Below are 16,188 nucleotides of genomic sequence, written 5' to 3'. Positions count from 1 at the left end.
TCAGGCTGAATCCAAATTGCTGAGCTCCAATAGAACTACAGGGCAAAGCATCTACACAGGGAATTGCCACTCTTCTCCAAAATTAGGCTTTATTAAGAGGCAAGGCTATGTTCTCCTCATATATATGTGTGTGTGTGTGTGTGTGTGTGTGTGTGTGTGTGTGTGTAAAAAGTAAATGTTTTACACAGATCCCCATAAGGGAAAAGTGGGCTATAGTAATACAGTATTTTTTTGTTTTTCTTTTTTTTGGGGGGGGGGGGGACAGTTTCGCTCTGTCACCCAGTCTGGAGTACAGTGGCGCGATCTCGGTTCACTGCAACCGCCGCCTCCCGGGTTCAAGCGATTCTCCTGCCTCAGCCTCCCGAGTAGCTGGGACTACAGGCAAGCACCACCACGCCCGGGTGATTTTTTTTTTTTTTATTTTTAGTAGAGACGGGTTTCATCATGTTGGTCAGGCTGGTCTCGAACTCCTGACCTCAAATGATCCGCCCGCCTCGGCCTCCCAATGTGCTGGGACTACAGGCGTGAGCCACCGCGCCCCGCCAAATACAGTTTTATCAGGAATCAAAACTGTGCTCTCTTCTGGACTCTCAGCTTTAGCTGTTTGGAGCGTTTAGTCTAAGCCTTACCACTTACATTGTAATGTGAAGATCAAATTGTAACGACATGGCAATAATAAGGCTCCTATTGGTTGGGTACCACCAGTTTATGCCAGGCATTGTACTGATTCATGTCTTTAATCCTCAAAACGACCTTCCGAGGTCAGCGTTTTTATTCTTTTTCCAGAGGAGCAAACTGAGTTTCTGAGAAGTCACACCCAACTTGGTGGCAGAGCTGACGCTGGCATGGGGTTGACTCCAAAGCTCTCTACGCCACGAGGGTGGGAAAGACAACGAAACACAAGCGAGAAGAATAATGAGAACTGGGATCGCAACTTCATTAAATGAGAAGCCAGGAACAGGTGGCGGAGGGCACGCGGTTCGCTGCACGGAGTCGCTCAGGCTCTTTGAAACACCGCGCGGGGGAGCGGGGCGGTGCCGGAAGTCAGGCCATGGCTTCCGGTTCTTGCGTCGGAAGTGGCCGGTCAGCGTCGCTGCCGGTCTCCGGCGGAGACGGACTCTGGAGTTTGGGCGGCCCGGGCGGCCACTAGGTACTCTGATATTCCGTACTAAACACGTCTGCAAGTCAAGATGTCGCACCCGTCCCCCCAAGCCAAGCCCTCCAACCCCAGTAACCCTCGAGTCTTCTTTGACGTGGACATCGGAGGGGAGCGAGGTGAGCGGAGTCTGACGCTCGCGGAAAAGCCCCGAGGAGGCGGGGGTTCCCGGGATTTGGGGGATTCCAAGGGCGGAATGCGGCTCCGGCCGGTGACTGCTCAGTTTCGCGGAGGGGATGGCTGCCTAGGCTGGTCCGCCGGAGCAGGCCCGGAGATCTAGGGCTAGATCGATCCAGCGCCCTTGTATCAATGCCATCGGTGGTGCGGAAGTTTCTGGAAATTTCTAGTTCGGGAATTGTGGCGTCCTTTAGGTTTGCCTCCTGATTTGGTGGCACTTCCACGCCACCTTTGCACTACCAAGTTAGCATGAAATATTTTATGTTTGCAATGGGACAGTTCGGAAAGCATATCCTGGGATATGCGTCTGCTGGGCCCCAGGAAACTATATTTGCCACATGAGATAATATATCAGCACGTGCTGTGTTATTTATACGTTAAAGGGACTTGTTTGCTCATTGCTTTTGCCTTATTACTGATTCTTAATTTAGAGGTCCGTTCAGATGAGCAAACATTTTCTCTTAATTTGCCATTGGGAAAATGCGCTCAACGTAGTGATGGTGTTGCCTAGGTTACATAGCCGCTCAGAAGTTCCTAAGGCCTGGTGAATTAGGGAGCGTGTTGCTTTGTAACTGGATTGGCCTTGTTCTGGAACACGTTGGAATTGCTGGCCAGGCAATGTGTTTGAATGCATGTACAGGACACACACACGTTTACACGTACATTCAGTTTGTTGCAACTAGCTAGGGCTAGGTTTAATCTCACCTGTCTTAGCTGCTATCTAGAGGAGGAATTTTTACAGCTTTTGCTTCAGAGGTTGCATGAGGCAGTTTGCTCAGAGCACAAAGGCTGCAGGTATACGTAACACGTGGCAAGTCCGCCCACCCAAAGACTGTTTAATTTTCTCCCGTTGGTTGCTTGGTGATTGGAAATTCTCAGTACCTCTTGAAGAAATTACTCAGGATTTAAAACTATTTGTATTTAATGATATCTCTTACATGGTGCTAATCTTTTGGCTACTATAATTGGTTATGATCCTTAGTGTAATGTTTCAAATCTGTTTATATACATACATGACAGTAGGTAGACTAAATTTGAATATTAGAATAAAATAAGATTCACTAATTCTAGTGAGTATATTCAAAGGAAATGAAGTTTGTATGTCAAAGAGGTATCTGCACTCCCATGTTCATTGCAGCATTATTCATGATAGCCAAGATAATGGAATCAAACTAGGTTTCCATCTACAGATGGATTTTTTTTAAAATTTGATATATGTGCACAGTGGAGTACTATTCACCCATAAAAAATAATGAAATCTTGTCACTTCTGACAACATGAATTAATATGGAGGACATTATGTTACATGAAATAAGCTGGGCACAGGAAGACAAGGCATGATCTCACTTACATGTGGTTTCTAAAAAGTTGACCTTGAAGTAGAGAATGGAATGGTGGATTTCAGGGGTTGGGTAGATGTTGATCACGAGAGACCTAATTTCAGTTAGAAAGGGGGAATAAATTTAAGAGATCTATTGTATAACATAATGACTATAGTTAGTAGCAATGTGTTGTGTTCTTGAAATTGCAAAAAAGAAAAATTACAGTAAAGGGGAACTTGGTAATTCATGATTGATCTGCTACCATAATTATACCAACCTTCTTTTTATCATTTGTCTATTTGGTTGTTTTGCATACTGACAAGATTTTCTTTTCTTTTAGTTGGTCGAATTGTCTTAGAATTGTTTGCAGATATCGTACCCAAAACTGCGGAAAATTTTCGTGCACTGTGTACAGGAGAAAAAGGCATTGGACACACGACTGGGAAACCTCTCCATTTCAAAGGATGCCCTTTTCATCGAAGTATGTGTAAATTTTCTTAATCTTGTTATTCTTCATACAGACAAGTCCTGTTCTTTAGGATTTGGGGAAGAAAACACTAAGTAGGAAGTGAAGCTTAAAAAGTACTATTAGCGTCCATGTCTGAGGCAGTAACGCAGTTTCGTAAAGGTTAGGCTGTGCGAGGTGGAATTACTTATGGTACTAAGGTTTATCTATAGAGAAATGGACTCCCCTAGCTTTACCCATCCTCTCATTCTCCTTCACTCTAAGATGATTTGATTGAGAAAGGAAGGCCGTAGTCAACCAACCTTAGGTAGCTTCATTGCCTGGTGACAAAAAAGTTATGCATAGACCGGGCGCAGTGGCTCACGCCTGTAATCCCAGCACTTTGGGAGGCTGAGGCGGGTGAATCACGAGATCAGGAGATCGAGACCATCTTGGCTAACGCGGTGAAACCCCGTCTCTACTAAAAATACAAAAAATAAGCCGGGTGTGATGGTGGGCGCCTGTAGTCCCAGCTACTCGGGAGGCTGAGGCAGTAGAATGGCATGAACTCAGAAGGTGGAGCTTGCAGTGAGCCGAGATCACGCCACTGCACTCCATCCTGGGCGACAGAGTGAGACTCTGCCTCAAACAAACAAACAAACAAACAAACAAACAAAAAAATGCATAATTTTTGGGCCTGAGTGCTTGGGAAGGCAGCAGATTTGAAGATTCAGTGTTTTGGGCACATGGGTGATAGTGTGGTCAAAATATGCCATTTCATACTGCTTATTACACTTTGTAATGAATCATACTTTTGTTTAGTGATAATGGTTCTCCCAATAGACTGCAGGCTCTATGAGTTCAAGAACTGTATGTTTTCACCATTTTGTTTTTGGCATCTAATACAGTTATTGAGTAAGAACTCAGTAAGTATTTGTTTAATAAATAGGCAAATAAGCAATAATCACAAGAGCAACATTTTTTAAACGATTTATTAAGAAAAAATTAACTTTTTAAAAAATATTTAAAATGTTTACTTTCATGTTTAATAAAAACTTGAAATATGCTAATAAACTATATGCAGAAAATATTTAACATAGCAAGTGTGAGACTGCTATCTTTAGAAAGGTCTGCCTGCAAGAGTAGCACTTGTTTGGAGTCTGGGAACTTGACACTTGTACCATTTCCTAAATAGTAATGGTGATTTACTATGCCTAGCCTATTTGTACAAACATGAATGTGTGCTCTCTTTTGGGGAGTCTGGAATTTTGGTACATGCTAGGTAGAGTGTGCCCAATAAATACCTTGGGTGCTGAGTCTCTAATTGGCTCTCCTGGGCAGAAATACTGTGTACATGTTGCTGCATTTTTGTTGCTGGGGGAAGTGTGTGTTCTGTAGCACTTCATGGGACGGAGAAAGCATAAGGAAGCCTGCACATGGATTTTTCCAGACTCTGCCTGTGTCTTTCCCGTCATCTCGCTGTGTATCCTTACCACTGTGATCCAACCACATACTGATTTGTGTGAGCTCTAGGGTTCTCTGAACATGAAAGCAATCTTGGTAACCTTTGACACAAAGTGATATATTTGCTGAAAATTTTCCATTAGGGTAGAACAAATCTACTGGGAATCATTGGTCTGTATTCAGCAGACATTATTGAGTAACTAATATGTACTATGTGTACATGCACATAGTTATAAGGATGTAAAACAATACAGTTGGTGTACTTAAGGAGATCATTGCTGGAAGGGGCAGATCATAATGCCATATGTTATGTAGGCAGAGTCAAGATACTATGGGAGAAAAATTAGGACATACAGCTTAGGGATTTCAGTGACAGTTTTATAGGGGAGGTATCATTTGAACCGATTTTCTGAATGTTAGCAGGGATCAGGCAGTGAAAATAGGTTGGATTCAGATGGTGAAAAGCCTGAAGCGTTTGGAGTTGCGGAGACGGGTGGGGAGCGACAAACAGGAGAGAGACATGACTAGAGTCATGCACTACAAAGTTGTCTTACGTACGTATCCATTAGTAAGCATTGCTAAAGGCATCCATGTCTCAGTCACTAATAGCCATTTTCCTTTTTTGTAGTTATTAAGAAATTTATGATTCAGGGTGGAGACTTCTCAAATCAGAATGGGACAGGTGGAGAAAGTATTTATGGTGAAAAATTTGAAGATGAAAATTTCCATTACAAGGTAAAGTAGAGAAAATGCATGTTATTGCTGATAAAAAGATTGTTATATATCTGGAATACTTGTTGGATTAAGACACCAAAAAATGTTTCAAGTGTGCTTAGATTCTCCATTTCTTGTAATAGGAATCACTTTTGTAAATAATGGTTCTTTAATATGGAAAAGTTTTCATTCAGTAATGATTAATTCAGCATTATTTCATTGTGATCCAGTTTTTATATGCTTCAGTTAAGCCAGTGAGTTTTTAAATGCGACCAGCATCTGGCAAAATTGTTTCCAGGAAAAATGTTTCCATTGTTGGAAGGATGGTAACTTGTGCATCCTTATCCTTGAATTTGAAGAGCAACAAAACCATCACTAATATCCAGGATGTCAGGGGATTTGCACACTAGCAGATATAGTTAAATGTCCAAGCTCCTAAAGGACTTCAGTGGTGCCTGTGCCTTCTTGTCTTCGTTGTCCCAAGATGTAATTGGGGTATATTGCATCATTCAAGTTATAAGAATGGACATGTAAGTACAAAAGTAAAGTGATATTTTTGGAAATAAGGAATATGAGCAAGGGTATTAGGATAATTTGAAAAAATGTCGTCAGTCTTCCAGTCAGTGTTTATTGAGCCACTATCACTGGCACCAAAGGGTTTATAAAAATGAAAGGCCTTGATGACAAGGAATTTATAATCCTACCTCAGAGACAAGATTAAGATACATGGGACTACTGGAGAATAATAGTATATAAATAAATGCTAAATTGATTGAATATCCTTGCTTGTATAACATTGCTAATACTGTCTATATACTGCAGGAGAAAGATGTGATTTATGCAGTCTGAATTATTATGGAAGTCATTGAGGAGGAATGGCTACTTGGGCTGTGCAGACTGGGTCTTGCAAGGCGGCAACATGTCTGAGATTTGGTTAGGCAGGAACTGTAGTATTGATGCAGAATTTAAAAAGGGACGTCGGTGAGGAAAGACAAAGGCAAGAGACGTTGAGGAAATAAAGTTCTAGTTACTGTTGTACCAAAGGAAGCTACCAGAAGGATGAAAACTAAAGGTGATGTGATGATCACATTGACATAGAGAAAAGGGGCCTATAGACAAGACACATGATTCTTGCTTTCTATAAACGTGGTGGCCTTAAAATCTGAATTTGATTTAGACTGAGGGGAGTAAAAGGCATTTTGGTGGGGTGGGGGGTGTCATGAAACATTATATAACATGAGAGTTACGGTGCATGCACCAACAAGGAATACATTTAGAAAGCCTAGGAGATAAAGTGAAAAGGTTAAGAAATTGGGTTTCATAGATCCTTTGACAGGATTATGCCAAGGTAGAATTTTGATTTCAAGATGTATGCAGCAGTTTCTTTTGAGCACTCTCCGAAGAGGTGATTCATCTGGGATGAAAACCTAATCCAAATCCTGTATGATTTGGATTCTTTTGAGATTAGGAAAGTACCAAACTGAATGTCTTGGGTAAATTCAGTATCCCATTATTGTTCCAGTTTATTGATGTTTTGTAAAGGAAGACTTATACTGTAGGCATATTTATGAATTTGGAAGACCGTTCAGGTCTTCCCAGAAAAAAAGAGCATTCATCATAAAGAGGGCAAAATATATTACAAGAGTTTCATAATGCTGCATCTTCATTTTAAAGGTGAAGTGTAAGTATTTTCTCATGGCCAATTTAGAAATAACCCTCCCCCCGACTATTGTTTCTGTTACCTATTTACTTTGATAAGGTTTTTTAAAGTTTAAAGTGATTAAGTGCCCCATGTTTTGTGAATTAAAGGTTGCAGTTTATAAAAAAATAAAAAGTAATTAAAAAATTTTATAAGTGAAAAGTAAAAAAAAGTAGTTTGATCTAAATGGTAGTATAGTGCACCCCAGTTTTATGTTCAGTAAAAGAACAGTTCAGACTAACACACAATTCAGAAAAGAACACATCTAACCTTGGTTTTCTTTTAATTTTTATTTCTACAGCATGATCGGGAGGGTTTACTGAGCATGGCAAATGCAGGCCGCAACACAAACGGTTCTCAGTTTTTTATCACAACAGTTCCAACTCCTCATTTGGATGGGAAACATGTGGTGTTTGGCCAAGTAATTAAAGGAATAGGAGTGGCAAGGATATTGGAAAATGTGGAAGTGAAAGGTGAAAAACCTGCTAAAGTAAGTAAAAAGTTACAGTGAAATACACTTATTATCTTAGTTGCTATCTTTTTGAGACGGAGTCTCGATCTGTTCCAGGCTGGAGTGCAGTGGTGCGGTCTCGGCTCACTGCAGCCTCTGTCTCCCAGGTTCAAGCTATTCTCCTGCCTCAGCCTTCTGAGTAGCAGGGATTACAGGCGCGCGCTACAACACCCGGCTAATTTTTTCTGTATTTTTAATAGAGACGGGGTTTCACCATGTTGGCCAGGCTGGTCTCAAACTCCTGACCTTGTGATCCGCCCACCTCGGCCTCCCAAAGTGCTGGGATTACAGGCATGAGCCACCGCACCCAGCCTGTTAGTTGCTATCTTAAAGAAATATAAGTAAAAGGATCAGGTGATTATTAGCTGGAAAAATGTTATAATAATTTTGGGTATAGGAGCCAGGATCTGCCACTTTTTTTTTTTTTTTTTAACTTTTCTACAATGGGAAAGACAATTAGGGTAGTTTTAAAGGAGATTTTTATTATTTCAACTTTCATTTGGTGATCTTTGCTAGTTTACGTTAAGTCTTCCTATACCTGCAAAACTGTTCAGTTGGTATGTATAGTAGTACATAGTGGAATGAGGATAATAAGCCCAAAATCTTGTCTGGATTGTAGCATTAACTAGAGGCTTGGCCTTGACTTTGTTACTTAACTTTTCCACACGTGTTTTCTCCTGTCTAAATTACTTATGGGTTTAGACTAGATTATCTCTGAAGACCCTTGTGTACTTAATGTCTGTGAATCAAAATGACCTTAATATTGGCTGGGCATGGTAGCTCATGCTTGTAATCCCAGCACTTTGGGAGGCTGAGGTGGGAGGATCACTTGAGACCAGGAGTTGGAAACCAGCTTTGGCAACATAGTGAGATGCTGTCTCTATTAAAAAAAAAAGAAAAAAAGAAAAACCCCTAAACGACCATAATACTACCCAGCCTAAGTGACAGGGTTGTGAGTGGGAGTTGGAAGCTCAGTTACTTGTAGGAGGTAGGCTGTCACTCAGTGTATGACAAGAATAGTAGTAAACCGGAAGCTCATGCCCCACCTAATGCCACTTACATAGACAATGATAAAATTGCCAACTTATTCTGTGTTTATTGAGCTCCTGAATAGCAATAAAATGCTTATGTAAATACTAACATTGTCGTATTAGTTGGAATGTATAAAAACAGCATTATAGTACATAAATGAGCCTTCTCACATAAATCTGTGAATTGGACAGTGCTGCACATGACTTCAGCTGTATAGCTTTTATCTCTCATTATTACGATAGTGCACTTCTACAATTTAGGGTTATTTTTACAGTTGTGCGTTATTGCAGAATGTGGAGAATTGAAGGAAGGAGATGACGGGGGAATATTCCCAAAAGATGGCTCTGGCGACAGTCATCCAGATTTCCCTGAGGATGCGGATATAGATTTAAAAGATGTGAGTACTTTCAGATTAGTCAAACTTTAATTAATTTAGTAAGTGAAAATATTTAGTACTAAAAGTTTGAGCTTTTGTTTCAGTCTCTCATATGATAGAATCTAGCATTAAACCACATTACTTACTAAAATCCAACATATTTGTATTTTTTTATACAGGTAGATAAAATTTTATTAATAACAGAAGACTTAAAAAACATTGGAAATACTTTTTTCAAATCCCAGAACTGGGAGATGGCTATTAAAAAATATGCAGAAGTTTTAAGGTAATATTATTTCTAACAAATTATTTTTAAGAAATTATAAATTGAATTATAAACTAAAATTAAGAATTGCTCATTATATTTTTGCAAATTACTTGTGGAATAACCAGGTGTGTTGAAATAGTTGCATTTCCTTTTTTTTCCCCTCAGCTTGTTTTGAGAAATTTCAAAAGACAGAAGTTGAACGAGTAGTACATAATTACTCATAAGTTTTACTTACATTCACCAATTTTTAACTTTTGCTGTTTACGTTTTTACAGAACTATTTTGATAGGAAGTTGTTGATACTGTGATACTTTACCCTAAGTATTTCAGCACGTATTTCCTAAGAAACAAAGACATTCTGCATAAGTTCAATACCGTTAAAACACCCCAAAGTAATATTGATAGATAATATCAATCCATATTTAGGCTGGGCATAGTGGCTCATGCCTATAATCCCAGCACTTTGGGAGGCCAAGCTGGGCGGATCACCTGAGGTCGGGAGTTCGAGACCAGCCTGGCCAATATGGTGAAACCCCATCTCTACTAAAAATACAAAAATTAGCTGGGCTGGTGGCGCACGCCTGTAATCCCAGCTACTTGGGAGGCTGAGGCACAAGAATTACTTGAACCCAGGAGGTGGAGGTTGCAGCAAGCCGAGATTATGCCACTGCACTCCAGCCTGGGCGACAGAGTGAGATTCTGTCTCAAAAAAAAAAAAAAAAGTAATCCATATTCCAACTTCCCCAGTTGTTTCAATTTCTTAGAAAAATCAAGGGTCCAAACTAAGATTATGTGTTATATTTAGTGGTAGTATCTCTTACGTTTCCTACCTCCCCTGGTTTTTTATTCATTTGCATTTTTGTGGAGTCCAAGTCAGTTGTTTTTATAGACTTTCATCTGTATGTGTTTGTTTCCTTAAGATTAGTTTGAGGTGAAATATTTTGGCAAGAAGACTTAGGTGTTGTTTTGTATTACCTATGATATCACATCCTGAAGACACATTTCGCTTTGGCCTGTTTGAGTTCACACACATGGTTAAAGTAGTGTCAGCCACAAGCATTTGTTAGTCTGAGGTGGTATCGTGAAATTGTATGAATTTCTAGTCCCCAACAACTTTTCACACAGTGGATCTTAGCATCATTGAAAATCCATGCCTGAATCTGTTATACTGAACTTCTAAGTTTATCATCGTACAGTTATTAACTAGCATTCTTCTGTTTGCAAGAGCCTCCCGCATATTTTTTAAGTATCACTATAGACCTGTGGATATTTTTCTTTTCTTTTTTTTTCCTTTTATAGAAACAAGGCCTCCTTTATATTGCCCAGGCTGGTCTGGAACTTTTGGGCCCAAGCAATCCTCCCTCCTCACCTTCCCAAGTAGCAGGGACTAGAGGATATCTTATGGGTAGTTTTCAATTCCGTTTGTTAGTACGCTATTATTGTCATTCTTTTTCATGCCCAAAGGGTTCCAAATTTGTTCAGTGGAAGGCCCCTTTCCTTTGGCATGTTCCTATTAGTCTGCGAGCACTTGCTTGCTCTAAGCTCATCTTACCTTACTTTCACATCTGATATGGCAGTTTCTCCAAGGACCTCTGATTTCTTTTAGAGAAAGAAAACTTTAGAAACCAAATTCTGGGGGCCAGGTGTGCTCAGTTTTGGGGCCCTTTTCAGGGACAATGCAAAATCAACACAATAGAGTTCTCCTTCATCTTTCCTCTACTGAATTCCCTTCTCCTATTATGAGAATCCTGGTTCCAAACATAATTATGTTGGAAAGTACATAGTGGGGACCTGAGTTTTAAAAATAGAAAAGTGTTACTAGTGCATAATTAGATTTGGGAATTGCTCTTAAATTGGCCTCTTTGAACACTTTGGGGAACAAAAACAATTTTTTTTAAGCCTTCTTAAAAATTTTAAAAAGTGTGATCATTAAGATTATTAATAGCATTTTTAGAGCTTTTTATATCAGAAATGACATAACACTTCTGGACATAGAGAAGAGTAATTCCTGTTTATGTGGTCTTTCATACTGCTTTTATTAATGCATTCTGCAGATACGTGGACAGTTCAAAGGCTGTTATTGAGACAGCAGATAGAGCCAAGCTGCAACCTATAGCTTTAAGCTGTGTACTGAATATTGGTGCTTGTAAACTGAAGATGTCAAATTGGCAGGGAGCAATTGACAGTTGTTTAGAGGTAAGTCTGTTTGATTTTGAACTTTTTGAATAAGTTGGATTAAGACTTAGTTTGAATAGTAGCAACTTTTATATACATTAATATATCTTATTGCATAGGACCTAATGAGGCTTAAGAAAACATTTTGTTTCTAAATATTTTGGACCCTCAGTTCTTTCTCTACATTCATTTTGCTTATAACTCTGTGTCACTTAACAGCTATGAAGATCCTTGCCTTTTTTTCTCAAAGCACATATATCAGCTCATGTATTCACTTAAGAGCACCTATTGTGTGTTAGGCATTAGAAGACAAAGTCAGAAATGATTAAGATGTGGGTTATGGAGTCAGTCAGGCATGGCTTTTTTCTTCTTCTTTTTTTTTTGAGACGGAGTCTTACTCTGTTGCCCAGGCTGGAGTGCAGTGGCGCAATCTCGGCTTACTGCAACCTCTGCCTCCCGGGTTCAAGTGATTCTCCTGCCTCATCCTCCCAAGTAGCTGGGATTACAGGCATGTGCCACCATGCCCAGATAATTTTTGTATTTTTAGTAGAGACAGGGTTTCACCATGTTGGCCAGGCTGGTCTCAAACTCCTGATCTCAGGTGATCCACCCGCCTTGGCCTCCCAAAGTGCTAGGATTACAGGTGTGAGCCACCGTGAAGTAGTTATAGAGAGTTATATAACACAATGTAAGGCATTTAGTGTAGTGCCTGGCACATTTTAAGCACCTAACAGAGACGAGTTATTTTAATTAAAAGATCCATACCCTCAAGAAGCTTAATAAGTGATTCAGGATAGGAGGGGGTCAGTTTCAATTTAGGTTCATCAGGACTTGTGTATGGAGAATGGGTTCTATTGGAACAGGTCATTTATCTTTAGGAGGTCATCCAGGTATGCTAACTGATAAAGCTAGAAAGGTGGCAGTTTTACCTTCCTCAAATAGAGCAATTATGACTCTCTTCCCTGTTGTATAGTTTGAAAAGTTTTCCAAATGAAACTTTAAGAATTTTACATATTAAGCCAGGCACCTAGACTAGCTATGCTCAGAGCAAGTAGAACTAAAATGAGATCCTAATTTTGTAGGGTAGATGGAATAAGGGATAGGAATATATTTAGAAGGGATCATACAACAGAGGAAAAAACTTATCAAAAGAAAAGATGGGTCTTCACTCTGGGTTTTTTTTTGTTCTCTGTCACCCATGCTGGAGTGCAGTGATGCAATCAAAGCTCACTGCAGCCTCAACCTCCTGGGCTCGGGTGATCCTCCTACCTCAGCCTCCTAAGTAGCTGGGACTACAGGCCCTTGCCACCATACCCAGCTGATTTTTAAATTTTTTGTAGAGATGGGTTTTTGACATGTTGCCCAGGCTGGTCTCTTAACTCCTGGGCTCAAGCTGTCCACCCGCCTTGGCCTCACAAAGTGCTGGTATTATAGTTAAGAGCCTCTCTGCCCAGCCTCGATCTCTTTTTGACCTGTGAGGCAGGTAAAATCTGAGTATTGGCCATTAAAAGATGTTACATAAACAAAAGATAATTTTAAAATGTTTGTTCTAGGGGAGAGACCTGATGCATAAAGTCTCTTAGGTTAAAAGACCTGTTGTAGGTAAGAACCTAGGTTGGGTATGGTGGTTCATGCCTGTAATTCCAGCACTTAGGGAGGCCACGGCGGCGGGCAGATCGCTTAATTCCAGGAGTTTGAAACCAGCCTGGGCAACATGGTGAAACCCTGTCTCTAAAAAAAAAAAAAAATTAGTCTGGTGTGGTGGCACATACCTGTAGTCCCAGCTACTTGGAGGCTGAGGTGGGAGGAGCACTTGAGCCTGGGGGGTTGAGGCAGCAGTGAGCTGTGATCAGGCCACTGCACTCCAGCCTGGGCCACAGAGTGAGACCTTGTCTTAAAAAAACAAAAAACAAAAACTTAAGAGTTTATAACTTAAGAGTTATTAAGTTATTAATGTTCCTAAAAAACTTATAATTCAAGTAAAAAGTGTATACAAATGTTTCTTCAAAATGATTTTATCTTAAAAGTGTTAGTTCAGGCCCATTCGGGAGATTGAAACCACAGTGGGGAGCATATTGGAAACTAGAGAAATGTCTTTCTCCTCCATGTCCATTCAGTGCCCTCTGCTGACAAAACTTAGTGCCCACTGGCAGAGGAGAGCTATTTGCATGTTTCAGCTCCATTTTCACAGAGCAGTGAAGGATGGGTTTGGAGTTGATAGGCAATGAATTGAAATCTGGCATATAAGCTTAATACTTTGATATAAATACTAGCTTTATACTTTTTTGTAGGCTCTTGAACTAGACCCATCAAATACCAAAGCATTGTACCGCAGAGCTCAAGGATGGCAAGGATTAAAAGAATATGATCAAGCATTGGTAAATTTTGTTCCAAATGTTTAATTTTTTAAAATAGACAACTACCTTTATAAATCATACACCTAACTTAAATGTTTTTTTCCAATTAAAGGCTGATCTTAAGAAAGCTCAGGGGATAGCACCAGAAGATAAAGGTAAGTTGGCAGCTTTTGTAGTGAAAGTTAATTTTGTTATTTAAATACTTATCCTCAGGAACCATTGTTCACTTTGCCAGATTTTAGATGTTTGTTCAACAGACACTACAGAATGCCTGCTGTTGGGCCAGGCATTATCATATAGCAATGAACAAGACAGTCAAAGTCCCTGCCCTCAAAGAGCTTACATTCTACTCCCATTCAAGAATATAGTAGTTTTTCACGTTATTTATTCTTCAAGTTATCATCTCTGTAGTTTTTTATATGTCTAAATACTGTTTGTCTTATGGTATCCTTTGAGACTGTGTTCCTATTCTGGTTAGTCTAGTCGAGAGCTCAGCATTGTAAGACACAGTATTCATGGTAAATTTAACATTTGGGACCATTCAAGTTGAATGTGGCTATAACCTTAGTATTGATGTACTGGTTATATGTTTTAGGAAACTATGACAAAAATAAGCTTGTTTTTCAAATAAACCAACTATGAATAGTGACACTAGATCTGGGTATTACAAAATGTCTTTGGTCTCTTATTACTAAAATGAAACAAGGGAAGCAATTACTGTTCTCTAATGTAGAGGCAGAAGGCAAATCTTGATGTACTTGAGTTCTCTCAGTTGACATCCTCTAAAATTACGTTTCATTTCTGTGTTTGTGTGATTGCTCAGATTTTCTGTTACTAGGGCTTAGTTACTTTGTAGAGAAGTTTTTTCAAGGGGTAGTTAACATTAAAATAGTTTGTTAGTCACCATAATTTTTTGGATATTTTGAGAAATAACTCACATTGCATATTTATTTTACAGCTATCCAGGCAGAATTGCTGAAAGTCAAACAAAAGATAAAGGCACAGAAAGATAAAGAGAAGGCAGTATATGCAAAAATGTTTGCTTAGAAAGGATTCAGTTTTGCTTATTGTGTGTTGATTGTATAAATGCAATAAGAAAATGTAAAGGTTTTTGTCTATGAATATGATCCCTAATGTGTTTCTTTTGACACCTTAGTTCCTTACTGTTTACAGTTTAGGAGTACTGATAGGGGTTCATGCTTAATAAACATGTCACAATACAGTAAGTAAAGTGGTTTTGTTTGTTTCTTTGAGATGGAGTCTTGCTCTGTCACCCAGGCTGGAGTGCGGTGGCGCAATCTCGGCTCACTGCATCCTCTGCCTCCCGGGTTCAAGCAATTCTCCTGCCTCAGCTTCCCAAGTAGCTGGGATTACAGGCACGTGCCACCACGCCCAGCTAATTTTTGTATTTTTAGTAGAGATGGGGTTTCACCATATTGGTCACGTCACGTTGGTCTTGAACTCCTGACCTTGTGATCCACCCCGCCTTGGCCTCCCAAAGTGCTGGGATTACAGGTGTGAGCCACCGTGCCCGGCCAAGTAAAATGTTTTTTAAAATGGTTATGTGCATTATTCATAAAAAATAATGGTGTCCAGTCTTTTTAAACTTGTAAAGACACATCTTATTGAATAAAGAGATGAGAGCTTAAGTTTGTATATTGTTTCCTTCGATTCTTTGATGTATCCATGGTGGATGATGCTAGGTTTTCATACTTATAGATAATACACACACACACACACACACACACACACACACACACACAAACTTGTTCAGGGATGGGCATACTTCTTCTGCAAGGGCCAGATCATAAAGTTTTTAGGCTTTGTAGACCATGTAATGTCACACCCACTCACCTGCACAGTTGTAATTCAAAATTAGCCATAGACAATGTGTAACCAATGGGTATGGCTGTGTTTCAATAAAACTTTAGTCTAGAATATATATTCATTTTTATATTTGATTACTTAACTTTGGCAAGTCAAATGTAAAGTCCAGTAGTGAATTTTGCTCTTGGTACTGAATCTCTGAAGAACTGAAGAGGTAGGAAGATGCTGCATTCTTATAAAGGTTATTTAAAAGCAATACCCGTAATTTCTTTATGGGACAATCTTACATATAGTATAAAATTTTTATTTGATAATCATTTTGTGACTATTCTGTTCAGTAATATGCAGAAAGACATTCTGAAATCTGTTAATCTCTAAACATTTTAACGTTAGCTTGCCATACTTGAAAGAAACTGGCTAGCTGCAGTTTACATTCCATTGTAAGCAGGTCCTCCTCCACCTTCAGGTACCACCCAGTTAATATTCTGACTTGGATCTTTAATATCACATGTTTTACAATGTACACAGTTCTGAGCATTTATCTGTAACCGAAATCCATCACCTTGTTCCACAGGTACAAATTCATAAACTCCTGAAAAGTAAAAATAAATAATATTGAAGTGCCTAACTTTAAAAAATTTTTAAATTCAAAAGTAAAAATTAAG

General features: G+C 39.4%; 2 protein-coding genes across 5 annotated transcripts in view, besides 4 other annotated features; one reads left to right on the top strand and one right to left on the bottom strand.

The window, feature by feature from the left end:
- Window positions 505-1,089: an enhancer, noted in NCBI's record as "H3K27ac-H3K4me1 hESC enhancer chr4:159644542-159645126 (GRCh37/hg19 assembly coordinates)". NCBI's record gives its function as "activates a minimal SCP1, AML or CMV promoter by ChIP-STARR-seq in primed H9 embryonic stem cells {active_cell/tissue: H9 hESC(primed)}" and the evidence as "EXISTENCE:reporter gene assay evidence [ECO:0000049][PMID:30033119]".
- Window positions 505-1,673: a biological region, named in NCBI's record as "hESC enhancers GRCh37_chr4:159643958-159644541 and GRCh37_chr4:159644542-159645126".
- Window positions 977-1,456: an enhancer, noted in NCBI's record as "active region_22086". NCBI's record gives its function as "activates an Ori minimal core promoter by ATAC-STARR-seq in GM12878 lymphoblastoid cells {active_cell/tissue: GM12878}" and the evidence as "EXISTENCE:reporter gene assay evidence [ECO:0000049][PMID:35858748]".
- Window positions 1,083-15,352, top strand: PPID (peptidylprolyl isomerase D). Of its 2 annotated transcripts, NM_005038.3 has the most exons (10): window positions 1,083-1,275; window positions 2,996-3,136; window positions 5,193-5,299; window positions 7,279-7,467; window positions 8,795-8,917; window positions 9,076-9,182; window positions 11,219-11,360; window positions 13,631-13,717; window positions 13,809-13,851; window positions 14,655-15,352. In NM_005038.3, the coding sequence occupies exons 1-10, from the start codon at window positions 1,191-1,193 to the stop codon at window positions 14,741-14,743; spliced, it is 1,113 nt and encodes a 370-aa protein (NP_005029.1). In that variant the 5' UTR covers window positions 1,083-1,190; the 3' UTR covers window positions 14,744-15,352. The 2 variants fall into 2 exon arrangements, with proteins under 2 accessions (NP_005029.1, XP_047271800.1); XM_047415844.1 differs by lacking the exons at window positions 9,076-9,182; window positions 11,219-11,360; window positions 13,631-13,717; window positions 13,809-13,851; window positions 14,655-15,352 and having other exon boundaries at window positions 8,811-8,852.
- Window positions 1,090-1,673: an enhancer, noted in NCBI's record as "H3K27ac hESC enhancer chr4:159643958-159644541 (GRCh37/hg19 assembly coordinates)". NCBI's record gives its function as "activates a minimal SCP1, AML or CMV promoter by ChIP-STARR-seq in primed H9 embryonic stem cells {active_cell/tissue: H9 hESC(primed)}" and the evidence as "EXISTENCE:reporter gene assay evidence [ECO:0000049][PMID:30033119]".
- Window positions 14,856-16,188, bottom strand: part of ETFDH (electron transfer flavoprotein dehydrogenase) — a 37,328-nt gene continuing 35,995 nt past the window's right edge. For 2 of the 3 annotated variants that reach the window (NM_004453.4, NM_001281737.2), the window contains one exon: window positions 14,856-16,115. In NM_004453.4, the coding sequence (NP_004444.2) occupies window positions 15,952-16,115 (164 nt within the window). In that variant the 3' untranslated portion in view covers window positions 14,856-15,951. The remainder of the gene's footprint in view (window positions 16,116-16,188) is intronic. The other variant, NM_001281738.1, reaches the window with a different exon arrangement.

This window comes from Homo sapiens, chromosome 4, assembly GCF_000001405.40.
Source record: "Homo sapiens chromosome 4, GRCh38.p14 Primary Assembly".
NCBI lineage: Eukaryota > Metazoa > Chordata > Mammalia > Primates > Hominidae > Homo > Homo sapiens.
The sequence above is the reverse complement of the archived record's forward strand: the minus strand, read 5'-3'. Positions and strand labels throughout refer to the sequence as shown.